The following is a 27,652-nucleotide window of genomic DNA, read 5'->3' on the forward strand; positions in this document are numbered from 1 at the left end:
GCCTTCTAAAGCTCCTGGGAGACATTCACCTAAGGCTGGTAACTAAGGTTGGTAATGTCATAAGTGCCTAATAAATATCTGCTGACTTGTATCTCATTCTTTCGAGAGCTATATCCTATAGAACCTGCCCCAAATGAAGGAGATCAGCCTCCTGACAAGCTGCACTGAAAGTTAAAAGTGGAACTCAGGAAAATTATCTTAAAGCTGCAGTGTGAATGTTTATTTGGTTGTTTTGCTCAAACGTGGGCTTTCTGAAGAGTTCAGTGCTTTTCTCTCTCCCTTTTGTGGGTGGCTCAATGAAATGGAAAAGCTTCAACTTTAATTCCTATCAGAGTAAAACTGTAAGTGGTAGAAGTTATTGACTTTCCCTTTTATGGAATAAAAAGTGCCTTGATTATTGAAATGCAATACCACATTATGAAAGTCCCAAAGGAACAGGAGGTTTCTTGTTTGAGAGGCACGCACTGAGCCAGGAAGTCTAGTGCCAGTCATTGCAGAGGAGAAGGAGAGCATCCCATTGCCTGCCAAACCCCCTAAGCACCCTGCAGTGGGCACTCCCACATTTCTCCCTGGCATTTGGCATCCTAGGCTGTCTGAGCTGAGGAGTCGTTCCATTGATGTTGGTGTGTGCCATACGTCACCCATAGGCCTGCTGAATACAGAAAGTATTCCCCAAGGAGATTAAAGGAAAAGAGAGAGCTTCAGGCCCCTAGAATCCCCATGGTGGAAAAGAGCAAGAGGCAATTCTGCATCTGGGAAGCCCCCAGCCCCATGTCATTAAAGAAGAGACAGTTTTCCATTCTAGCTGTTCTTGCACCTATTTCTGACCCATACTTGCTGTGTAAGTCTGTTTTCACACTGCTGTAAGATACTACCCAAGACTGGGTAATTGATAAAGGAAAGAGGTTCAATAGACTCACAGTTTCACATGGCTGGGGAGGCATCAGGAAACTTGCAATCGTGGCAGAAGGGGAAGCAAGGCATGTCCTACATGGAGGCAGGAGAGAGTGAGAGCGAGTGAGCAGGGGGAACACCAGACACTTATCAAACCAGAATCTCATGAGAACTCCCTCACTATCATGAGTACAGCATGGGGGAAACCACCGCCCCACCCCCCACCCCCGTGATCCAATCACCTTCTACTGGGTCCCTCCCTCAACACCTGTGGATTACAATTGGAGATGAGGTTTGAATGGAGACACAGAGCCAAGCCATATCACTTGGATCAGGTCAGATTGGGGGAATTTCTGACCAAAACTCCTGACTTCCATACAATGACTGATTCTAATGGGTTTCCCTCACTCCAGACTTTCCCAAGACATCTCTTGTGAGAGTTTAATGGGAAAATAGGCACCAGCAAATGACTGCTGAATGCCTTGCTGGATTTAGCAATAGTAGCAACCTCTATATGGTGATCTTTTCCTGTGTGCCTGGCACTGTGCTAAGAACTTTACATACCGTTATTTGCCAAGGAGCCAGACTAGGAAAGTCTCCTTAATGTGCAGTTACTGGTGAGAAGACAAGGTCCAGTGATGTTACATTAGGTACCCAGGAGCACACAGCCAGAAAAGACGACAGTTGGAGTGTGAATCCTGGTCTCCTGATTCTAGAGTCTCAACTCTTAGCTACCATACTACATGACGCTACAAGTCTAAAAAAAGTCTCCAAAAATGTTGGCTTTCATCCCTCCATTTCCCATAAAATGTCCACTCCTTTGTGTTCTCTTTTCTGCTTTATGCCCTCTGTCTGAGTCTGTTCAGGCTGCTCTAACAAAAACATCATAGACTGGGTGGCTTACAAGCAGAAACTTATTTCTCACAGTTCTGGAGTCTGGGATGTTGAAGATCAAGGCATCGGCAGATTTGGTGTCTGGTGAGGGCCCACTTCCTGGTTCCTAAATAGCTATCCTTTCTCTGTGTCCTCATATATGGGAAGAGGCCAGGAAAGTCTCTGGGACCTCTTATCAAGGCATTAATCCTACCTCCATGACCTAATCACCTTCCAAAGGCCCCTCCTCCAAATACCGTCATGTTGGAGGTTAGGTTTCAACATGGAAATTTTTTATTTTTTATTTTTGAGACAGATTCTCATTCTGTCACCCAGGCTGGAGTGCAGTGGTGCAATCTCAGCTCACTGCAACCTTTGCCTCCCAGGTTCAAGCATTTCTCATGCCTCAGCCTCCTGAGTAACTGGTATTACAGGTGTGCACCACCACGCCTGGCTAATTTTTGTATTTTTAGTAGACACAGGATTTCACCATGTTGGCCAGGCTGGTCTTGAACTCCTGACCTTAAGTGATTGGCTTGCCTTGGCCTCCCAAAGTGCTGGGATTACAGGCATGAACCACCGTGCCCAGCCTCAACATGGGAATTTGGTGGAAGACACAAACATTCAGTCCATAGCACCCTCCACTCTCCCATCAAACTAGATTAGCCCATATTAATTAGTTCATTAAATATACCTACTGTTTTGGCACACTAGGTGCTGGAGTTCTACTCGACTTCACTGGATACTTATGCTAGCCCTTATTGCTGCCAATCATTCCACGAGCACAAGAAACAGAATAATGGTCTCTTGGTCTAGCCCAATGGGAAGGGTCCAAGAAAGGGGAGAGTGGTGGGGCATGGGACAAAGGAGCCAAGGGAGACTTTGGCCTGGGCTTTGTGACTGCTATAAGCACAGAAAACTTTGCCAGTGGGCAGTTTATTTGGCAAGTTTGAGCATTAAGAGGTAGGATTATGCTAGCTATGTTGATCAGGTTACCATCACCTTATCCCAGCGATCACTTTCAGCATCACGAAAAATAGGACCACCTGTGGATCCTGATGCAATTTGCTACGAAGTATGCAGCAGCATCTGTGCAGTCATTTTGCCAAATGTATACAATAAATTTTATCTAACTTCCGGTTTATAGAAAATATAGGGGTTAGAGAACCAAGATAAATGACTCAATGAGCAATAATCAGACAAATCCAGAAGGTAGAGCATTCCCCAAGACCCCTGCTAGTCTCTCCTCCTGGTCAAGAACATGAAAAGAAACATGCAGGGAAGGAGGTGTGGATGGGCTGATCGAGGTTAAAAGAGAATAAAGAAATATAATGAGTAAATGCAATTTGTGAACACTGATTGGCTTCTGCTTTGAATAAATGAGTCATAAAACTCACTGGGGCAACAACTGGGGAAATTTGAATAGAGAACAGGGATGATATGATATGCAGGTCTTATTAATTGTGTTAGGTGCCCTATGGGTATTGTGATTATATAGAACAAGATTAGTTTATAGAGATGCTACTAAAGTCTTCAGAAGTAAAATGTAGTATCTTGAATTTACTTTAAATACTACATTAAAAAATTAAAGTATATCCAGCAAAATGCTAACACTTTAAAATTCTAGGTGATGGGTATATGGTGTTCATTATATGAAACTATCATAACTATGATAAATCTAATGAAATGGAAAATTACAACCTTGGTTTGGCAGTGTGAAAGCAATGTAGTGATTTATAAAACCTCTTTAGGGGATAATTGCCATGAGTACAATGGTTATTAGGGACATTGTGAACATGTCAGATTCATTTTGGGGAGTCTTTTTGATTTTCAAACCACCATGTCCAAGTGCACTCAGAGGGCTTCTGTGCAAGGAGCGGACAGAATCTCCTTGTGTGTCATGGCCCAGCTTCAGACGCACATGGAGGGAATATTGCCTGAGACTCCAAAGATCCCCACAGCCAGAGGCCTCCATGAGGCACGTTTGGGAGGCTGATCAATCCATTTCACTACCAACATTCAGCCCCATCACAGCAGGGAGAGGCAGCAGCTGTGGTGGGCAGGGAGGATGCCACATTCCTGACCTTCAGCCATCACTTCCTCTATCTCTCTTACCTCTTGGGATTTCACAAGTGGCTGTTCCCTTCTTCTGCTTTCTTCCATAGGCTGGACCCATCCTCTTGCCTCCCTTACAGGTCCATGGCATCTGTCACTCAGCATTTCTCCCACTTCACTTTTCCAAGCTTGCTCCACTTCCTGATGCTTTCCACCATTTCCTCCACGGTTTTTTTTTTTTTTCCTTCAAGCTTTTCTTGCTGAATTTTTGTACGATTCTCCTGTCCCATTTTTACTCAACTTAAGAATTGTATCACGATTTATATTGCGGTTCTCTGTCAGCTTTTTTTCCCTAGTACCATCTGCCTCTTTGTAGAAGACTGGTGATATACAGGCAGATACACACACAGACACACACACACGCCTTTGGTAGATGTCATGTCAAGTTTGAGTTTGTGCATGTACTGAATGACGCTTAGGAAAATGCTTAGTGAGGAATGAATTTGTTCTTCAAAACCAGAGCATACATTTAACATTTGGATCATATTTGTGAGTTTCATTTTTGTTTGCAGTAACAGTATTTTTCTCTCAGTGGTAAGAGCAGCTCATATTCACCTTTCCCTAATGCTGAATTCTCCACTTACTTCCCTTATGTTGCATCCCGGTTTGTTTGGGGTAATTTAGGTTTTGAGCCATTCTTCTCTTGTTAGAGTCTATAATGCCTCTTCTAAATTGAAATTCTTCCTTTAGGGAGCCAAGAACTCGGATGCTTCTAAATTTACATCTGGGTAACAGATTTGCTACAAAGTTGGACTACTGGGGAGCAAATTCAATGTTTCAGAAATTTTACAAAGAGTTACATTCCTCAAGGTCTCATCCAGTGAGTTCCGTCACTGGGGACAGATGGTCTACTTTAAGTATAATCAGGAAGTTTCAGAAACATGACATAATGTTTATCTCTCCTAAGATTTTTCTCTTTGATTTGGCGTCTGAGAAATACTCCTTGTGCCCATCTCTCTCTCTTTCTTTGGCAGATTCTGACAAAAATAATGTCTAGAAAGGCTTTTGCATTGTCTTTTATAAAAAGAACATATTTGCTTCTAATAATACATATTGGCTATACTTTAACACTTTTAGATCACATAAGCTCAGTTTCTTTTTCTCTTATGAAAAATAATGTGCTTTATTTTGAGCAAACGAATAAGCCACAAGCTCTCTGAAAAAAGATGATTATAGGAGAAGAACCCAAAAGGTAATCATTTTGGCCCAGAATTGTGATCAAAGTTGTCCTTTATATCTGTCCTACATCTGACATTTAGACACAAGCTCTCACTGCAGGGAGTCTCATGAGAGCGTGCCTAGGATGGCAGGAAGGATGGCATTTCTTAAGATGGGTCTGACTACATGATGTATGTTCAGTAATTTACAAAAAAAAATCTGAAATGCAAATCAAATATAAACCATCTTCATAAGAGTAGGAAAATGCTCCCCGCTCCCAGCCAACTGTGCCAGCTCTTTTGAGGAAATAGTATTTATTGAGAGGAGATAATACATGTTTGAATTTTTCCAATTGTTCTTTATGCTGAATATTCTTCATTTAAAAGTAGCTCACATATTTTTTCTGCAGTCTTTAATTGCAGATGAGTTAGGTCTACAACTTCTTTGGTGCCTCTGTGCACACTACAGTTTGCACACACACACCCTGTCACTACTCTCTTTTATTCTATAGGATCGTTTTATGGAGTTCAAAGTCCTCAAAGCTTGCAGGGAAGGGAGGAGGGCTAGGGAAAAGGACGATTGTGCTAAGCCTGAGTGTAAACTCCCCTGGAGCAGAGAATGACTCACATTCTCTGTGACATGAGTCACTCCCATGCAAAACTGGAGTTGCGAGCTACTACTTTGCCTGTAGCTGTTTGTTTGTTCAGAGGCAGATGGAAGGCAGAGGCTGCGCAGAGAATGGAGAGCTGTGTCTGAGGAGCCTTGGAACATTCACCCAGGTAGAGGAAGGCCACCGTGTGATCACCTTTTCTCCTTGGCTATAGCTCAGAATATTCAGTTCCCTAAAGTAAGGCACTGCTAGTATTTTTTACCTAAGGAACTGAACCAGAGAGAAGGTTAATTTGCAAAACAAAAAAGAAAAAAAATTGACTAGCAACCGATAGAAATTGATAGAGAGGGAAAAGGGAAAAACTAATGGGGTAAAAACTCAGAGGGTTTCTCTATCAATTAAATTAAAGCTTTCTCATTTAATGAGAATTGATGCTTATTATAACTGTGCTTATTTATTCTTAGCTGTATATAAAACAGTAGAAAGTTGTTGATTTAATATGAAAGTTTAGAAAAGATAAGGTATTAATTCTGCATTCTAAAAACTCATTAACCAGGAGTGCTTGATTTCCTAGAAAGAATGGAACTTCGCCTGTCATAATTATTGAGACGATAGATTCACCTCTGATTTCTCAATTATAAATAGAATCATCAAATGCTGAAGGCAAGGACCTTGTCTAAACAATCTCCACTAGGTTATGTATTTGAAAGTGTTTGGAACTACTGTGAAAACTCGATAGTTCTTAGGTCTTAGTTCATCAAAACCTAAAGTGAAACATACCTCCACACATAGTGTGGGTGTTCATCCCTACATATTCCACCTCCCCACACTGGCCTCCTCGAAGGAGGCTTGGAAGAGTCTATGGCTGGCTCTGCATTGGTCATGCACGCCTCCACGGCTGCTTTGCTCTGTGCCCCGGCTTTCCTAGGTATCTCCTCTCAGCCTGACCTCCGCTTCCGCTTCCTGTCCCACGTCTCTAACCAACAACTTAAAGGGACCCTACCCAAGGAATTGTAACCTGTGGAATTTCCCTAAAGGGAAATCTCAGATATAGCTAGGGGCTCAGGGAATGCAACTAACATGCAACTTTGGGAAGATGGGTTTTGCTTTTTTATCTTAGACTTTTTTTTAGTTTGCCTTGAGAAAAATCAGAGCTGTTCTTTAGAAAAAAACAAAAAAATGAGAAGGTAGCAGGTCTTGTCTTCAGTCTTTCCCATTTCCCAAGAAGCACCGGATCAGATCCTCTTAGGACCATGAACTCTTCACTTCCTACCTAGCTACCTAGCCCAGATTTATCATGTCAGTTACCTCTGTAATATGGTGTTGGTTTATAATAGCTTAAAAATGAGTGTTGTGGCTCCCTGCTATATTTTCTTTTTTACTGGTTCTTCTTGAAAACTAAAAAATAAAAATAAAAAATCCTAAAGGAAGAATTCTCTAGTTGTAAAGTTTTGTCAACATAGTCAACACTGAGGGAAGCATTTGAAAACCTTCCCTATGTCCTTTGTCATCTCATATAAGCAGCTATTTATCTGTAACCACTCCCAATATTAGGCCAACTTGTATTTGATCATACCACATAGCCATTAGCTGATTTGGGTCTCAGCACTCTTGGTAACATGTTAGAATTCTTTGAAGGACCTTCCTGCCATCAACACTTCCTAAATTCCCCAAACCCCTGTGCCGTTGAAATCTATCCAGGAGGGGAGTCTAACATGCAAAACTGCATGTGACTCTTCAGCAAGGTGGAGAACAGGAGGCAGGTATGATAGGTTTGCTGGCTTCTGGTTTACTAGTCCCTGGTACAGATGAAATGAATAATGTTTGTACTCAAGTAAATGTACTCACCTTTCTTTAATTCACAGATGATGTTTTGTTGACAGCTAAGATTTAACTTTAACTTACGGATTTCCGTATAATTTTACAATGCAGTTACTTCCTAGGATTCATTCTAACTATGATTGATACTGAGTAAACTCTCTTTTATTTTTGCTTCATTTAATTTCTCTATATGTATAAAGTATAATGGGAATGGTTTTACCCTGACTTATTTTTCGATAGTTCAATGATGGCTATGGAGGAAGAGTGTTTAAATGAGTTTTTTGGTTTGTTTTGATTTTTTTGAGACAGAGTCTTGCTCTGTCACCCAGGCTGGAGTGCAGTGGCATGATCTCCTCTCACTGCAATCTCTGCCTCCTGGGTTCAAGTGATTCTCCTGCCTCAGCCTCCCGAGTAGCTGGGATTACAGGCTCCCGCCACCATGCCTGGCTAATTTTTGTATTTTTAGTAGAGACAGGGTTTCACCACATTGACCAGGCCAGTCTCGAACTCCTGACCTCAAGTAATCTGCCTTCCTCGGCCTCCCAAAGCACTAGGATTACGGGCATGAGCCACCACGCCCGGCTGTGTTTAAATGATTATTGATGTGGTGCCACGTGGAGTGGGAAAAGGGAGCGGCTGCTCTGTCTGAGCCTTCAGAAACCTCGCCTTAGCAGCAACAGCTGGGAATGAGCAGAGTCTGCTAGGATCGCACCTCCATGAAGGAGGGGTCTGAGCTAGGGCCAGATACCCGTAGGATCCTGATACTGCCTTCTCTTCTGCTTAGAGGACTATAACCATGTTATCCCAGAAATTGTGCATTAAAAACCATGAAGCTCCTCTCCCTGCCTCTAGACATGATACTTCTTTTTTTTTTTTTTTTTTTTTTTGAGACAGAGTTTCGTGCTTGTTTCCTAGGCTGGAGTGCAATTGTGTAATCTCAGCTTACTGCAACCTCTGCCTCCCGGGTTCAAGCAATTCTCCTGCCTCAGCCTCCTGAGTAGCTGGGATTACAGGCATGTGCCACCACGCCTGGCTAATTTTGCATTTTTAGTAGAGATGGGGTTTCTCCATGTTGGTTGGTCAGGCTGGTCTCAAAACCCTGACCTCAGGTAATCCGCCCACCTCAGCCTCCCAAAGTGCTGGGATTACAGGCATGAGCCACCCCGCCCAGCCTAGTGATACTTCTTATAATTACTCTTGGTGCAGCCACCACATGACGGCGGAGGATGAGGAGGAAATAAGGAAGATCTCAAATAGGAACAAATAAGGAGGTCAAGGTGCAGGGCTAGAGGGAAAGAACATTAGAAGCAAAGTATTCGGAAGGACCCTGACATAGAGCTGTGAAGGTTACATAATGACAGTGGTACTCATTAGGCGAATTTCAAATATTTGAACCCTCTAAACTTACAGGCACATGGTAGCATTGTGCTTCCCCCACCAATTTAAATTTTGTCTGTGTAATTTGCTTTAGCAATAAAATATGTGGGAAGTGATGCATATTTCATATCTAGGTAGAAGCTTCAGGAAAGAACGCAGGCTTCCCTACATGCTCTCTCTCCAACATTTGAGAAAATGGCTGCTTCATCAGCCTGGGTCCCTGAACAACTCCAATGAGCAACCTGTGACGGGCCTGTGGAAGGACTGTAAAATTAACTTTGTTGCTTTAAGCATCTGAGATTTGGGAGATGTGTGTTATTGCACTGTAACCTGACCAGGCCTGACTGATCCTGAAGGAGCAGATAGAAGCTAAACAAAGGCTAAAAAAAGCAACATGATAAGAAAGAAAAGAGAAAGAAAGAATTGGTAATGAAAGAGAGAAAAGAGAGGTCAGGGAAGATATGGAGAAAAGGAGGGAGCAAAAGGGACTGTAAGAGGCAAGAGAGAGGATGATGAGAAGAAAGAGAAAAGTGTCCAAGGAAAAAGAACCTAGGTGTCTGAGGATGCAGGTGCCCAGTAGCTTGCAGTGATAACTTGCCATATGAAGTGAGGGCATGGGCCTTGATGTTAACTGCATACTTTATTTCATAACTAGTTGGCAGCACGTATTCTGTTACTTATTCCTCAAGCTATATATTTGAAGCCATCATTATTTTTCCGTTGAAAAAAGCTAAAAGATATGGGCATTGGATGGTGTTTGGAACTGCACAGTGTAACTATATTATGAAATAATAGTTTGTTGCAGAAAAGAGCCTGCCAAGTGGTCTAGTTCTGAGTTCTTGAGCCCTTGCCCTCTGGTGCTATAAGGCTTCTTCCTGGTTCCCTCAGGGGCTGCTCCCTGAAACAAGGCAAGGCAGACCAAGCAGTTGATCTACCTTGATTCTCACCTGAGCAGTTGCATTTTTATTGGATGTGTATAGCAGGCTTCCATGTCAGGTTTTACTTGCAGACAGGGTTCTACTCTTTTCTTTTCTTTTCTTTTCTTTTCTTTTCTTTTCTTTTCTTTGAAACGGAGTCTCACTCTGTCACCAGGCTGGAGTACAGTGGTGTGTGGCATGACCTTGGCTCACTGCAACCTCCACCTCCCTGGATCAAGCAATTATTCTGCCTCAGCCTCCCGAGTAGCTAGGACTACAGGCGTGTGCCACTACAACCGGCTAATTTTTTTTTTTTTTTTTAATATTTTAGTAGAGATGGGGTTTCACCATGTTGGCTGGGATGGTCTTGATCTCCTTACCTCGTGATCCTCCCGCCTCGGCCTCCCAAAGTGCTGGCATTACAGGCGTGAGCCATCGCGCCCAGCAGGTTCTACTTTCTAAAAGAGTTTTGCCAACAACAGATCCAGTCTATTGTGAACAAAAACCCCACAACACTTCACTAACATTCCATCCAAGCATTAGGCATGAACATATGTATTTGTTCAGAATGAAATGAGGTTTGTAGCTTACAAATATTACCTATGAATGAAAAATGAGCACAGAAGGAGTGCTGTTGGCCAGGGATCTCACTTGATTGGTGGGCTTTCAGAAAGCACACTGGGGAACAAAAGACCTATGGAGAGGATTGTATGGAAGGAAGGACCTTAATCTTGTGGGGATAATTGAGACAGAAAAATTGCCTGAAGCTCTGACTTTAGAGAAGCCTTTCCCCTGTTCAGAATCCAAAGCCACATTCTAGAATATTCATTATAATGCATGGCTATTCTTCCCTCCTACCCAAAGCCAAAAAGCAGCTATCTGGGATGCTCAGGATGTGTTGTTCCCAGGTGACCATGGCCAGTGACCCAACAAGAGCACTGATGGATGAGGTGGGCAAAACCAAATAGAAGCCCTGCAGGCTACTTCTGGCTTGGATGTTTCCCTCTCAAGAAAAACCATACTGCCATCCCTCAGTTGAAAAGGCAACTCCCATTGGATCTGTCTGTGAATGGCATGGGGGGTTCCTGCTATGCTATGGACCACAGCAGACCTCTTTTTGTTTTGTATACTTTGGTAGGAATATGGCAGAGGTCAACAGTATCTGGAAGAGAGTGTTAGATACAAGATTACATTGGAAACAGAACATAATGGCAGTTATCCAAACAGAGACAAGAACAGCATCTGGAAACTTGAAAAGGTTAATGAACTACTATGGTTGGCTCTCTTGCTCCTTTGGTTGCTGGAAAAGTAGGCAGGTTGCAGGAAGCATGAGAAGTACTGAACAGTATTTGTGCTGAATGCACTGTCTGTTCACTTTATATTATTCCAGACATAGATACTTAGAGGAATGTTTTTTCTCTGTCGATTGGTGAGATTTTTAAGTTCAAAATGTATGAAGGTAATTTGAGCTGTGTTTATAGAATGTATGTTCATATTGGCAGTTGTCCTTACCTCTGTTTCCATAATCATTCCTCCCCACCAAGCACTGTAACTTTGGCTGAGTGTAAAGCAATAGTCCACCAGTGGCTAGGAATGGTCCTGCTTTGATCATCTGGAATGATTTTTTTTTTACCTACTGACTAAATAAAGAAATGCTCATATTTACCTGATTCTTCATCTTGTAAATGAAATAGTACATTTCACATCCATTTCTCATGTTGTTTAAAGTTTAGGAGATATTTGGTATTGTAAAAATATAATAGAGCCAATGAAAATGACAGCTTTCTAAGTCCTTAAAATCTAGGGAGGAAAGAAATAGCATTACAGCCAGAGTCCGTGTAGGTATCCAGGAAGGATGGCATTGAGCTGACACAGTGGAGATGCAGATCTTGGTTTACCTGATGTCCAAGGCTTGTTTTCATGAGGATAAAAGAAGAAATTCATGGTCTGAAGGCAAGAGAGGCAGCTGATTGCAAATAAGGAGGTAAGAAAGTGGGTTCCAGAGTTAGGGGGCAGTAATAAAAGACAAGACACAGAATGCAGGAGCAGGAGAGTAGTGGGAAGAGGAAGGCGGGGGACGTCCTGGCTCCTGGCAGCAAAGGGAGGCAACTAGAAATGGCAGCAGAGTCAGACGCCAGTCAATGCTCTGTTCACCCTGAGCTGCCAATGTACAGGTTTGCCCTTGGAAAGAAGAGGAGTCGGCATGGTTAAGGATACATGGTTGAGAAAGAAGATGCTGAGCGACCGGTTACATAAGAGGAAAAGAATAACAAAGCACAGTAAACTCCTGACATAGACAAGTGTTTATTCACAATGTCCAGTTGAGACCTCTGGGAAGGAAATTTCAAAAAATAGAGGCTTCTTGTATGATTAGCAAATGTTCTGCCTAAAAAGGTAGCTCTGCATTTCTTAGCTGAGACAATTCTGCCTGTAGGACCTGAGAAGAAGGACAACCTCTGTTAGAGTGCTTTTCTTTTTTTTTTCAATTTGGTAAGGCCCAGAGAACTATTAAAACAACCCATGGTTACATACCATTCATTATATATTTGTCCAAACCCACAGAATATACAACACCAAGAGTTAGCCTTTATGTAAACGATGGACTTTGGGTGATAATGATGTGTCAATGTAGGTTCATCAGTTGTAACAAATGTACCAGTCTTTTGGGGGATGCCAATAATCAGGGGAGGCTATTCATGAGCAGGGGCAGAGAGTGTATGGGAAATTTCTGTACCTTCTGCTCAATTTTGCTGTGAAACGAAAACTACTCTAAATAAAGTCTATTTAAAAAGAAAAAAATGATCATGCAGACTAAGAGGCAGCATCATAGAAAAGACAAATCACCATTATTGTCTTCCATGGGAAATATCAATATATTTATGCTAAGGTATACCTTGTATTTTCAGAGTTAGTGAATGTCGTTCATAAGATGTGATGGAATCCAAAATGAAATTCCGTAGTAATAATTACTGGTATTCAAAGTAAAAGTGGGTTAATTAGTTCTATTCCTAGGGTGAATACATACATGTACATTTGCGTATGCACTAACATACACATACTTGTACACATGCATACACACAAGAACATTTCCATTTCACAAAAATGCCTAGACAGGAGCAGAGGCTCCAACTCAACTCTGAACTTGGGGACTTTCCACGCAATATGTTTGCTGTGTGTGTAGATTTGGTGAAACAAGCCTGTGCTGAAGCCAAGATCCACTGTGGCTGTGGCTGTTTATCTTGGAGATGCAGGGCTTTGCCAGTGAACTGTGTGGGTGTAAAACAGAGGGGAGAGAAAGTGATAGGACAAGATTCAGCCTTGGCAGCCATTACGGAAGCGTAACATTATGCTTCCTAAGGTACCTTCTCACTAGTGATTAAATGATGATATGTTCGGGCTTCAGATGGAAGTTTAATACCTTGTCTTAAGTGAAGTGCTCCTGGAGCTCCTGGAGACAAATTCATCTGCTTTCTCGTACACTGCGCATGCTTAGTAAATATTTAATGTCAACTCTGCATCTTCCTCAGGTTCACTAAGTCGTTCTCTGCTTGCTAGAGAGCAGCCCCAGTGCTCCCCTAAAACCTCATTGGGCTATAGCTTCACAAGTAGCCACCTTGGTATGACTCTAGCTGACTAGGGGCAGACATGCTACCCACAGTCATAGCCAATAATAGCAAACACTTAAGAAGCTTATGAGTTAGCTGTGGGCTAAGAGCTTTGCCTCCTTTTTTACCTACTTTTACAGCAGCTTAAACAGGTAGTTCTTATTATTACCTCCAATTTACAGAAGAGAAGGAAGAGGTTTAGAGAGGGTCAGCTGCCCAACACAAACTAATACTAGAACTTGGTGGAGCAGAGGTTGGGACCTGCAGATTTCTAACTCCAATTGTGTAGACTTAGATCATGGACAGACAGCTTACTCTTCCACCCCTACAGTTTTTTCTAATGGCATCATTTGTCTGTTTTGGTTCCCATATTTGAAAGTTATTTCCTAAGAGGGCAGATGCCTCTCCCTCCTCTCTCTGCAGGGGAGTCGTTCTCCCAGAAGCGAAATTAGGAAATCCATTGAATGATTGGCCTAAAACACCCCCCTATATCACACACCACAAAATCACCTGAGGGTCAGGGCTGACAACTTAGAACGGGTTTTCCAATTGTGCTCTGGCACTGCATGGCTGCCTGCAGCAACAGGCGTGCTTTTGTCTCAGAAATTGTTGCCAATCTCGTAACTAAAAATGGAGAGTTTTTCCAATCCACAGTAATCAGCCATCCTACACTCACTGCTGGTGGGTGCACAGAACACAGAATAAAAGGAATCAGCAAGGCTTTCTACTTGCCCACCATATGTTTACGTTAAGTGATCTGCCCAGTAATGCCATTTGTTCTTCAGAGTTATCCATGCTGAGATGCCTCCTCACTTTTTGGAGCTGAAAAGCCGAATTTAACAAGATGAATGGTATGACCCTTGAGGCTACATGAAGCAGGAGCAAGATTATCTATTTCTCAATTGCCAAGTACATTCTAACGAGTTTTTAGACCTACAGGTCATGGGTCAAAGCCACATGGTCTCTTCAGGTTGGCCTGATACATGAAAAATTTTCTAAGACAAAAAATAACATGTATTTTACAAAGGCCAATAAGAGTAAAATTTCAGGAAGTTAAAGAGTTACCAAGTTTATAGCAGTTGGTGAAGACTTGAATATAGTCAGGCAAATGCTTACCTATACATGAGGACTTCATTTTCACTCAATGCGGTTCTCACCTGCCCTCAGTTGCAGTCTTGACCAACAATTGGGGCTGTTTATGCCTGGCCTGACAAAGCTACGAGTTATTGTTAGAGACGAGATCTTGCCATGTTGCCCAGGTTGATCTCAAACTCCTGGCCTCAAGTGATCCTCTTGCCACTTGCCTTAGCTTCCCGAGTATTTGGGATTACATCTGTCAGCCACCATGCCTGGCAAAGTTATTAACTGTAGTTCAAGACAGGTAACCTTGACTGTGGGGCTGCCCAGGGCCCAGGGAAGTCAGAGTATTTCTGAACTATTCAGGACTTTTGGCCTGCCCCTAACACAACATCCTCCTTTCAGTTAGACTTTTGGATAGAAAAGGCAGATTGACCTTGCATTTTCAAGGTCAATCTTGAAACTACTCAAGCTCCCTCAAACTACTAAAAGGACTATAAGAGGTTAAAAAAGACAGAAACCCTCAACAAAGAGGAGCAGGGGCAACAGAAGCCTAACTTTGCAAGTTGGAAAGCAGGTGGCTGAATGGTCACTGCCTTGGCAGATCCCAGAAAGCTGAAATCTAAGCTATCAGTGGGTGAAGCCAGGAAGCAAACTGAATTGCACTTCAGAAACCAGGAATGGCGGTGGCAGATGCTTTTCAAAGCGGGGGTGAAAAGGGGGCTGCAAATAGGGGATGATTTAAAAGTATATTTAAAATACAGTAAAACCCTGGATTCCCTCTCTCACTCTATACAACCCTGTGATCATGTTTCCTTTCCCCAACCCTGGCAGATGATGACAAGTATATTTCTTCAAGGAGGTTAAAAAAAAGAGGGGTTCTAGCATGGGAAAACACCATACACAGCAGATATAGTGTGTTCGGTGGTGCTCTGCGTATGTTTCACTATCAGCTTGGAAGCTGGGAAGCAACTAGGGCTCTAATTTGTAGTCATTGCCAATTGCAGTGGTGTAAATACTCCCACCAAAGCTAATTTCAAATGGACAGCATAAAGTCTCTGGTCATGGAGTTGGGAAGAGATGCACACAATCAGCTTTTTGTGAGCCTGTGCAAACTGGTTTCAAGTTTCAGGTTTGATGAAAATAGAGAAATTAAATGGAAGTTTACACACCAAACTATCAGACAGCCTCCATTTTCATCCCCCTTCTTTGTTTGATGCCCATGTTTAAGCAGCCAGGATAATACCTTTTAGGTAATAGGTTACAAGATTTTTCCCTGAAGAACCTGAATGGTTGGAGAAGATATGGGAGACCTGGAAATACTTATAGTAATGAGTTACCCCATGAAATGCTCAGCCAGATTACAATATAGTATATTTCATCTAACAACAAGCCCACCTACAAAGATCTTCCAACAGCACTTTATCAGCCCACTCATCTGTAAGCAGACAACCAAGGATGACCAGTAATTTTAGGAAATCTGCCAACCTGAAAGTCAGAGATGAAAATAAAGAGATAAAGAAATTTGAAATTAAAAAAGACAATGCAGTGAGAACACTTCAAAAAGATTAATTACATTCATGAAACAAAGAAGATGAAGTCTTTTTAAAGGAACATTCAGAACATTCTTGTAAAAGGAATCTAGAGATTAAAAAATACGTACAAAAAAGGTAAAGCTTAATAGATGAGTTAGAAGATAGGGTTCAGAAAACCTTCTAGAATGGGGAAAAGGCAATAAATGAATGAGGGAAAAATATTTTTAAAATGTGGTGTTAATCCAGAAGGCTTAAAATCAAATGATAAGAGTTTCATAAAAAAAGAGAAAACAGAGAGGAAAAAAAATCCAAGAAATACAACAAATAAAATTTTGAAAAGTGAAGTACATGAGTTTTCACATTAAAAGTACGGCCAAGTGCGAACACAATGGATAAAAAAGGCCCAAGCCCCAAGCACATCATTCTTAAATTTCAAAATACTAGAGACAAAGAAAAAATTGTATAAAGCTTTCAGAAAGTAAAGAAATAATCAACATTCAGAATAGCATCAGACTTCTCAATACCACACTGGAAAGAAGAGAAAAATAATCAATGCCTACCTTCAAAATTCTTAGGGTATGATTTCGAATACACTATTCTATACCTAGCCATATCATCAATTAATTGAGAGGATAAAATAAAGACATTGTCAGACATTCAAGGTTCAAAAATTTTTCTTGCACCTTTCTTGCACCTTTTCTCAGGAATGTAATGGAGAATAAGATCCTCTCAAATGAGGGAGTATATCAAGAAAAAAGACACTGGATCCAAGAAACAAGTAATCAAGTACAGACAGGCACCAAGGGAATCTCCCAGGATGCTGGCAAAGAGAGGTCCCAGGATGACATCTCAGTGGTAAATCTAGAGAATATTAACTCTAGATTGGAGCAGGAAGACAGAGCTCTGGAGAAATCTCTCAAAAAAGAAGAATAAATAGCAGACCTAATGTGTCTATATAAGAAGATTTACATTTCTGGTAAAGAGTTTGTACAATTAGCAATTGGCACATAGAAAACCAAGCAGCACCCCTCCAAATAAAAAAGTAAAAAATTACTAACTCCAGGGACATAAAAATGTAGTATAAGAAAAGAAATGTAATAATAGTACATTACATGGCTCAGCTGTGAATAGTGTGTTCTTGACTCAGAGCAATGTAAAACACTGTCTCTCAATCCAAACATCATAATATAATTATGTAGAAAGAATGTGGAAAGAGGAGCACATGCACGTGTGTTTGAGCGTGTGTGTGAGTGTGTGTGTGTGTGTGTATTTTCTTGGAGGGGGAAGAAGTGAAAAATCAAAAGTTTAGTCTTCTATAAAGAGTTTAAAAATTAAGAAGAAACAGTGTAAGCAAATTATTTAGGTACATGTAGATATAATCCAAACAAATAGTTAAAAGTTAAGGTAGCTGGCAACAGGTGAGAAAAGATTGTTGGGATTTTTAAAAAATGAACCTCGTAGAACAATTTTCATTTTTAAGCTATGAACGCATATAATTTTGATTAAAAAGTAAATATACAGTAAGAAATAAAAAGACCATTTAGGAAAAAACAGAAAACCTTTTATAAGGCTACAATTATCTGTGAAGGTCTAACTAGTCTCAGAATGATTGGATCAAAGCATAATATGTACCTCTGGCAGCCACAAACCTTAAAGCACTGCACCCAGCCCAGAGTCCTGGTGCCCATTTACAAGGGGGAGAGAACAAAGTAGACAACTACTTGACCATGTCTACTTTACCAAGAGACTTCCTAAAATTTGGACAGTTTGTCAATGTGCTGGCTTCCAAACATGTTGTGCCTATAAATTTCTCCTATATATCACTCCTATCCTTTGACATGCTTCTATGTAGAAGAGACTTTCCAAACTCTCTTCCAATGATGAGTTTCTAAGTCTGTGCTATCCAGTAAATGTTAACTTTATGAATTGTTTCATGTAGTAATATTTCTGTAGGATAAATATTCTGCCAGACTGTGCAGTATGCTCAGGAATAAAAGGCATTCATTCACTCCTTCATTCATTCAACATTTCTGTCTAACATGTCTAGAAGTTGGGGAGACTTGGTAAGTGAAATAAACAGAATTTCTTCCTCTGGAAGCCCAAAGTCATAAAAGAGAATTTGATGTGTAAAAAAAGTTAGACTGGAGATGGACTGATTCTTCCCATTCTCATAAAAATTTTAAATAAGGCTTTTAGCTTTCACAGAGGCTTTTAACCCCATTTTTTACCCGTTGGTTTTTTGTTTTTTGTTTTTTGTTTTGTGAGACAGAGTCTTGCTCTTTTTCCCAGGCTGGAGTGTAGTGGTGCAATCTCAGCTCACTGCAACCTCCACCTCTCGGATTCAAGCAATTCTCCTGCCTCAGCCTCCCGAGTAGCTGGGACTACAGGCATGCACCACCACACCGAGCTAATTTTTGCATTTTTAGTAGAGAATGGGGTTTTGGCATGTTAACCAGCCTGGTCTTGAACTCCTAGCCTGAAGGAATCTGCCTGCCTTGGCCTCCCAAAGTGCTGGGATTACAGGCTACCCAGCTGATTTTTTAAACATATGGATTAGCAACAGGAGTACAAAAGAGGGAGTGATTAAATTCGTTTGGATGATGCGGGGAAGGCAACACAAACTAGAATTTGAGTCTTACTCTGCCTTTATCCCTCATGTCTAGCAGAACTAGACACATAGTTGATACTATGTAAATGTTTCCTGAATAAATAAATGGTATAAGGATGGATGGATGGATGGATGGATGGATGGATGGATGGATGGATGGATAGACAAGCTGATTCAACTAAAATTCACCTTGGCTGAAAGAGGTGATTCTAAGATTAGAGGGACCAATATTGAGTACTGCACAAATAGTATTGAGGAGGCGATGCTGAGAGTATTGGGGACTTTTTTGATTAAAAAACCTTTTGGACAGACCTATGACTCCTATGCAGTCAGAATTATGAGTAATCGTCCCTTCAACTGTGGTATGTTCAATTGTGAGATGAGCCCAAACTCCTGGGAGACCACGCTTTTTAAAAGAACTCATTTTTAGAGCTTTTTGTTTCCTTAGTTTAGATTTCAGGGAACCATGAAACTAATTACACACATGGACTTTGGAATTTTTTTGTAGCTATTTTCCATTGAGTTGGAAATATGTTTTCCATTCTCTCATTCTAAGTTGTTCTCTTTATCCATGGTTAATATATATTTTTTATATCCAGGTTTTAAATAATTTTTTTTAGTCCCAAACCAAGTCTTGCTTCATTCATACTCACCCTTGTGTAATTCCAAGGTCATTATATTTACTGAGAAAAAAGTAATTTTCTTTTTTTTTTTTATTTTTTTTTTTATTATTATACTTTAAGTTTTAGGGTACACGTGCACATTGTGCAGGTTAGTTACATACGTATACATGTGCCATGCTGGTGTGCTGCACCCACTAACTCGTCATCTAGCATTAGGTATATCTCCCAATGCTATCCCTCCCCCCTCCCCACACCCCACAACAGTCCCCAGAGTGTGATGTTCCCCTTCCTGTGTCCATGTGATCTGATTGTTCAATTCCCACCTATGAGTGAGAATATGCGGTGTTTGGTTTTTTGTTCTTGCGATAGTTTACTGAGAATGATGGTTTCCAATTTCATCCATGTCCCTACAAAGGACATGAACTCATCCTTTTTTATGGCTGCATAGTATTCCATGGTGTACATGCGCCACATTTTCTTAATCCAGTCTATCATTGTTGGACATTTGGGTTGGTTCCAAGTCTTTGCTATTGTGAATAATGCCGCAATAAACATACGTGTGCATGTGTCTTTATAGCAGCATGATTTATAATCCTTTGGGTATATACCCAGTAATGGGATGGCTGGGTCAAATGGTATTTCCAGTTCTAGATCCCTGAGGAATCGCCACACTGACTTCCACAATGGTTGAACTAGTTTACAGTCCCACCAACAGTGTAAAAGTGTTCCTATTTCTCCACATCCTCTCCAGCACCTGTTGTTTCCTGACTTTTTAATGATTGCCATTCTAACTGGTGTGAGATGGTATCTCATTGTGGTTTTGATTTGCATTTCTCTGATGGCCAGTGATGGTGAGCATTTTTTCATGTGTTTTTTGGCTGCATAAATGTCTTCTTTTGAGAAGTGTCTGTTCATGTCCTTCGCCCACTTTTTGATGGGGTTGTTTGTTTTTTTCTTGTAAATTTGTTTGAGTTCATTGTAGATTCTGGATATTAGCCCTTTGTCAGGTGAGTAGGTTGCGAAAATTTTCTCCCATTTTGTAGGTTGCCTGTTCACTCATGGTAGTTTCTCTTGCTGTGCAGAAGCTCTTTAGTTTAATTAGATCCCATTTGTCAATTTTGGCTTTTGTTGCCATTGCTTTTGGTGTTTTAGACATGAAGTCCTTGCCCATGCCTATGTCCTGAATGGTAATGCCTAGGTTTTCTTCTAGGGTTTTTATGGTTTTAGGTCTAACGTTTAAGTCTTTAATCCATCTTGAATTGATTTTTGTATAAGGTGTAAGGAAGGGATCCAGTTTCAGCTTTCTACATATGGCTAGCCAGTTTTCCCAGCACCATTTATTAAATAGGGAATCCTTTCCCCATTGCTTGTTTTTCTCAGGTTTGTCAAAGATCAGATAGTTGTAGATATGCGGCGTTATTTCTGAGGGCTCTGTTCTGTTCCATTGATCTATATCTCTGTTTTGGTACCAGTGCCATGCTGTTTTGGTTACTGTAGCCTTGTAGTATAGTTTGAAATCAGGTATTGTGATGCCTCCAGCTTTGTTCTTTTGGCTTAGGATTGACTTGGTGATGCGGGCTCTTTTGGTTCCATATGAACTTTAAAGTAGTTTTTTCCAATTCTGTGAAGAAAGTCATTGGTAGCTTGATGGGGATGGCATTGAGTCTGTAAATTACCTTGGGCAGTATGGCCATTTTCACGATATTGATTCTTCCTACCCATGAGCATGGAATGTTCTTCCATTTGTTTGTATCCTCTTTTATTTCCTTGAGCAGTGGTTTGTAGTTCTCCTTGAAGAGGTCCTTCACATCCCTTGTAAGTTGGATTCCTAGGGATTTTATTCTCTTTGAAGCAATTGTGAATGGGAGTTCACTCATGATTTGGCTCTCTGTTTGTCTGTTGTTGGTGTATAGGAATGCTTGTGATTTTTGCACATTGATTTTGTATCCTGAGACTTTGCTGAAGTTGCTTATCAGCTTAAGGAGATTTTGGGCTGAGACAATGGGGTTTTCTAGATATACAATCATGTCATCTGCAAACAGGGACAAATTGACTTCCTCTTTTCCTAATTGAATACCCTTTATTTCCTTCTCCTGCCTAATTGCCCTGGCCAGAACTTCCAACACTATGTTGAATAGGAGTGGTGAGAGAGGGCATCCCTGTCTTGTGCCAGTTTTCAAAGGGAATGCTTCCAGTTTTTGCCCATTCAGTATGATATTGGCTGTGGGTTTGTCATAGATAGCTCTTATTATTTTGAAATATGTCCCATCAATACCTAATTTATTGAGAGTTTTTAGCATGAAGGGTTGTTGAATTTTGTCAAAGGCCTTTTCTGCACCTATTGAGATAATCATGTGGTTTTTGTCTTTGGCTCTGTTTATATGCTGGATTACATTTATTGATTTGCGTATATTGAACCAGCCTTGCATCCCAGGGATGAAGCCCACTTGATCATGGTGGATAAGCTTTTTGATGTGCTGCTGGATTTGGTTTGCCAGTATTTGATTGAGGATTTTTGCATCAATGTTCATCAAGGATATTGGTCTAAAATTCTCTTTTTTGGTTGTGTCTCTGCCCGGATTTGGTATCAGAATGATGCTGGCCTCATAAAATGAGTTAGGGAGGATTCCCTCTTTTTCTATTGATTGGAATAGTTTCAGAAGGAATGGTACCAGTTCCTCCTTGTACCTCTGGTAGAATTCGGCTGTGAATCCATCTGGTCCTGGACTCTTTTTGGTTGGTAAGCTATTGATTATTGCCACAATTTCAGATCCTGTTATTGGTCTATTCAGAGATTCAACTTCTTCCTTGTTTAGTCTTGGGAGAGTGTATGTGTCAAGGAATTTATCCATTTCTTCTAGATTTTCTAGTTTATTTGCGTAGAGGTGTTTGTAGTATTCTCTGATGGTAGTTTGTATTTCTGTGGGATCAGTGGTGATATCTCCTTTATCATTTTTTATTGTGTCTATTGGATTCTTCTCTCTTTTTTTCTTTATTAGTCTTGCTAGCGGTCTATCAATTTTGTTGATCCTTTCAAAAAACCAGCTCCTGGATTCATTAATTTTTTGAAGGGTTTTTTGTGTCTCTATTTCCTTCAGTTCTGCTCTGATTTAGGTTATTTCTTGCCTTCTGCTAGCTTTTGAATGTGTTTGCTCTTGCTTTTGTAGTTCTTTTAATTGTGATGTTAGGGTGTCAATTTTGGATCTTTCCTGCTTTCTCTTGTGGGCATTTAGTGCTATAAATTTCCCTCTACACACTGCTTTGAATGCGTCCCAGAGATTCTGGTATGTTGTGTCTTTGTTCTCATTGGTTTCAAAGAACATCTTTATTTCTGCCTTCATTTCGTTATGTACCCAGTAGTCATTCAGGAGCAGGTAGTTCAGTTTCCATGTAGTTGAGCGGTTTTGAGTGAGATTCTTAATCCTGAGTTCTAGTTTGATTGCACTGTGGTCTGAGAGATAGTTTGTTATAATTTCTCTTCTTTTACATTTGCTGAGGAGAGCTTTACTTCCAACTATGTGGTCAAGTTTGGAATAGGTGTGGTGTGGTGCTGAAAAAAATGTATATTCTGTTGATTTGGGGTGGAGAGTTCTGTAGATGTCTATTAGGTCCACTTGGTGCAGAGCTGAGTTCAATTCCTGGGTATCCTTGTTGACTTTCTGTCTCATTGATCTGTCTAATGTTGACAGTGGGGTGTTAAAGTCTCCCATTATTAATGTGTGGGAGTCTAAGTCTCTTTGTAGGTCACTCAGGACTTGCTTTATGAATCTGGGTGCTCCTGTATTGGGTGCATATATATTTATGATAGTTAGCTCTTCTTGTTGACTTGATCCCTTTACCATTATGTAATGGCCTTCTTTGTCTCTTTTGATCTTTGTTGGTTTAAAGTCTGTTTTATCAGAGACTAGGATTGCAACCCCTGCGTTTTTTTGTTTTCCATTTGCTCGGTAGATCTTCCTCCATCCTTTTATTTTGAGCCTATGTGTGTCTCTGCACGTGAGATGGGTTTCCTGAATACAGCACACTGATGGGTCTTGACTCTTTATCCAGTTTGCCAGTCTGTGTCTTTTAATTGGAGCATTTAGTCCATTTACATTTAAAGTTAATAGTGTTATGTGTGAATTTGATCCTGTCATTATGATGTTAGCTGGTTATTTTGCTCGTTCGTTGATGCAGTTTCTTCCTAGTCTCGATGGTCATTACATTTTGGCATGATTTTGCAGTGGCTGGTACCGGTTGTTACTTTCCATGTTTAGAGCTTCCTTCAGGAGCTCTTTTAGGGCAGGCCTGGTGGTGACAAAATCTCTCAGCATTTGCTTGTCTGTAAAGTATTTTATTTCTCCTTCACTTATGAAGCTTAGTTTGGCTGGATATGAAATTCTGGGTTGAAAATTCTTTTCTTTAAGAATGTTGAATATTGGCCCCCACTCTCTTCTGGCTTGTAGGGTTTCTGCTGAGAGATCTGCTGTTAGTCTGATGGGCTTCCCTTTGAGGGTAACCCGACCTTTCTCTCTGGCTGCCCTTAACATTTTTTCCTTCATTTCAACTTTGGTGAATCTGACAATTATGTGTCTTGGAGTTGCTCTTCTCAAGGAGTATCTTTGTGGCGTTCTCTGTATTTCCTGAATCTGAATGTTGGCCTGCCTTGCTAGATTGGGGAAATTCTCCTGGATAATATCCTGCAGAGTGTTTTCCAACTTCGTTCCATTCTCCCCATCACTTTCAGGTACACCAATCAGACGTAGATTTGGTCTTTTCACATAGTCCCATATTTCTTGGAGGCTTTGCTCGTTTCTTTTTATTCTTTGAAAAAAGTAATTTTCTTATGTTTAAAAAACACTATTGCTGTTACGGGAAAGCTCTCTGTTGTAACATTAATTCTACGGTGAAAGAGCCTTCTGCAACAAAATGGTTGCCTGTCAAGCCAATTACATCATTTCAGCTGAGTTGTAAGAAAATTCCAAACTGCATTTTGCTCACCTTGTGAGCTGGCTGCTCTGTGCTTTCTGCAAAAGGCAAGAAGAAGCCCCTCCAATAAATCTCAGAGTGCTTTTGCTGAAAGGAATTTTTGCTGCAAGTTAAGTATAAGTCCACTGAAACAGGATGCCACCTGCTTACTAGAAATTAAGAACAGATATGGCCTAATTTCTTTGCTTTTGTTGAACTGCATTTAGTTTGTACTTAACTCTTTGAAAACTCAGTATAGAAAATGAGGTGACACTAAATTTAAGTAGCTGGATTATGAGGCACCTAGACACGCACACACACACATGCACACACACACATACCCATAAAATTAGGCAGGGAAGCCCATAAATTTGCTTTCAGTTACATGGCTACTCATCGCTTTGTTAGAGCTGAGCTAATCCATATTTATTGGCATTGGCTTTTCATTCTTAAGAATAAACTCCTTAGAATGAGAATCAGGAATTCTGGCTTTCCAAACTTGTTCTTATTAGCATGGGTGCAGCCAGAGAGTTGTTGATTTTACAGCCTTCTGAAGAGGGATTTATTTTATTTCACTAATCAATAGTTTACTTCTTTAAACTTACATTTTTCTAACACTATAGTTTGGGCAAAAGTGGAAAGAGTTAATTCTCAATTTTTCAGTTGAGATAGTGTCATGCCAAGTTCTGTCCAAGACTAAAGATGGAATTTTCTGTGGTTTTTTGAAGATATTTGTTGGTTGTCAAATTGTGGCCTATGGACAACAGCATCAGTTCACCTGGAAACTTTTAGAAATGAGGAATTGAAAGCTGAAAGTCCCACCTGAGACATACTGAAGCCCTTTATCTTCTTTTTGAGAAAATTCCAGGTGATTCATTTGCATAGTAAGGTCTGAAAAGCACTGGTTTGGATGTTGTCTTTTACTGAAGCCAACACAGAATGGTTCCCAATGGCATTTAGCATTGAGAGGAAATTCAATCCCGCTGGAGTGCATACTCTGGTGGCTAAGAGCTCAGCACCTGCTTTTGCCCACCACCTCTACAAGCTTTGGGGTCCATTCTCATTGCTTACCCATTAGAATCATCATCTCAAATTTTTTTGCAGCTACATTGAACCTCACCATTGAGGGTAAGGATAGTCTTTGAGTAGTTTCCATGCCAGGGTTGGACTTCAAGTCTGAAACTCCCAGAACATGTTGGAACTTCCAGCTATTCTAGTGACTTTTACTGTAGTGTGAAAGTCAAAGGTACTGCACTGCCCTTAGTGCAGTAACACCTTGGGCTCAGTTTCAGGATAAATTTATACAAACAACTCTGAGTATTCATTATAATTAATACTATAACTGTAATTTATGAATGAGCAGAAAGTTTAAGCATCACCTTGGAAGTGTCAAAAATACATATCTATCATAGAATAGTATACTCTAGATGATCATGAATTATATCATCACACTGATAGAATATAAACATTCCTGAAATAACTGGGAACTTGAGAGCAGCTGACAAATGAGTGCTTGCCATGTCTTCAGTTGCCGTGAGCTGTACAGATTACCTAGAACTGGTACACACACTTGCATGGTGTTTGGGATTTATTTTTGAACACATAGTTATTTCTTACAAAGATAAAAAATTTAATGCAGGATACAGGGTCTGAGGAGTACATCTGTGTCAGTCCATTCTTGCATTGTTATAAGGAAATACCTGAGACTGGGTAATTTGTAAAGAAAAGAGGTTTAATTGGCTCGTGGTTCCACAGGCTCTACAGGAAGTACAGTAGCATTTGATCAGATTCAATCATGGAGGACAGCAAAGAGGAAGCTGACTGGCGTAGGAGGAAGAGGAGAGAGAAGGTGGGGAGGTGCTACACACTTTTAAATAACCAGATCTCATGATAACTCACTCACTCTCACGAGAATAGCACCAAGGGAGAAATGCGCCCCTAAGAGTCAATCACCTCCCACCAGGCCCCACCTCCAACATTGGGGATTACAATTTGACATGAGATTTTGGGCAGGGACACAGACCCAAAGCGTATCAACATCCAACTAAGATCTACATCAAATCGACTCTAAGAATGAAAAGTATGGTAGGAGAAGAGGAAAGAGACGGCTTACTGGATTGCAACCTTGCATAAGTGGAAATGTTAGGTCCATGAGTTGGGGCTTATATACTTGGATTCTTGCAAAGTAACCTCTCATAGGTGGAGAGGTGGGTGTATTTTTCTATTTCACACCTGTTACTTTTAACATGCATACTCATATGTAGGTTGCTTTGTCTTATGGCTGCAGTTCCTGCTGCTTATGGCTGAGGGAATTATAAAAATACGAAGAGCAGGTTCTAAAGCCCTGGGATAGATGTGTATCTAGCGCTCCTCACTGTTTCTTCACTGTTCTCAAGAGGAAGTCAGCAGTCATTATGGAAGAAAAAGAACATTGTGCAGCTCAGCCTCTCTCCACCAGCACAGACTGGCTGGAGTTAACATACTCATCTGTGCATACTGCTCACAGGAGTGTAAACCTATGAAAGATAATGTTTTTTAGTAATTTATCTTTTGAGATCTATCATAAAACAGGTTTATTTTTGAATGACTAGCTAAAATCTATAATGGGAGAAGACTATAGACTGAGTGAGAGAGATAGGAGAGTCAGGATATTTGGGGAAATGATGGCAAGAAACAAAGGTCGTGAGAATCTTGTTTCCTAGGAACCAGATTCTGAGGTTCAGGGGAAGAGGAAGGGATCAACACTGAGATGCTCGAGAAAACCATTTCCTTTGTCAACCTGAGCTGCAGAGTGATGGGATTTGTAGACCACCACCACTCTCAACAACACCAACAACAAAGAATGTGCTGTGTGCTTAAAGGTTTGAGGGTAACAAAGCAAGAAGCAGAAGAAGCATTACAGCATCAGGGCGTAGGGTCCGGCTTGAAGGATAACATCTTTGGTGATCTGACTCCACTCTTCCTTTCTTTTTTTTCTCCAGGCTATAATATTTGTGGTTTGGAAAAAAGGACAAATCGAGGTCCAGATACCATGTATTCAAACTTGTAAACAATAAAATAAGCAGTCCAGCAGCTAAAGAAGCCAGGCTTTCCCTAGAGCAGCCTTGCCCTGTGGAAGCCTGAGAGGGAGGTAGCCCTCACCACCTAACTGGGATGGGACAGGGTGGAAGCTGGTCCAGGCACACTCCTCAGCTGTGGTAGAATTTGGCAAATCTGGGAAGGGGACTGATCTCCAAAACTCTATGGGGTGCCAGGCCAGGCAGTTGCCCCTTCTCCGCACCTTGTATTTCCAGCTCAGGATTTCTCAAAACTGTTCCACCTGAGCAGATGGTAGGAGAAGAATTGCAGCATCAAGGGAGCCTAGTTTACCTGAATACCCACTGGGTGATTGGGGGTGGCCAACTTTATACAAAAGCACCTGCTCTTCCTCTCGCTCACACGGCAGAGGCTGTGATTGTAATCTCCCTGCACACACCTGCACACACTCTCAGC

At 40.9% G+C, this 27,652-nt stretch overlaps 1 protein-coding gene and 1 long non-coding RNA gene across 26 annotated transcripts in view; one reads left to right on the forward strand and one right to left on the reverse strand.

Annotated features, from left to right (window-relative positions):
* Positions 1 to 946: 946 nt before the first annotated feature.
* Positions 947 to 17,484, reverse strand: LOC124903197 (uncharacterized). Its single transcript, XR_007063844.1, has 3 exons — positions 6,431 to 17,484; positions 3,883 to 5,920; positions 947 to 987 (listed from the first exon to the last, which is right to left on the reverse strand). It is a non-coding gene; the product is annotated as an uncharacterized LOC124903197 (long non-coding RNA).
* Positions 5,746 to 27,652, forward strand: part of MBNL2 (muscleblind like splicing regulator 2) — a 252,287-nt gene continuing 230,380 nt past the window's right edge. For 22 of the 25 annotated variants that reach the window (XM_047430004.1, XM_047430002.1, XM_047430006.1 and 19 more), the window contains exon 1: positions 5,746 to 5,819. The gene's annotated coding sequence lies outside the window, so the exon portion shown is untranslated. Of the gene's footprint in view, positions 5,888 to 27,652 lie in introns of all 25 variants that reach the window. The other 3 variants (NM_001382649.1, NM_001382675.1, NM_001382656.1) reach the window with 1 other exon arrangement.

Source organism: Homo sapiens, chromosome 13 (genome assembly GCF_000001405.40).
Source record: "Homo sapiens chromosome 13, GRCh38.p14 Primary Assembly".
NCBI classification, from domain to species: Eukaryota; Metazoa; Chordata; class Mammalia; order Primates; family Hominidae; genus Homo; species Homo sapiens.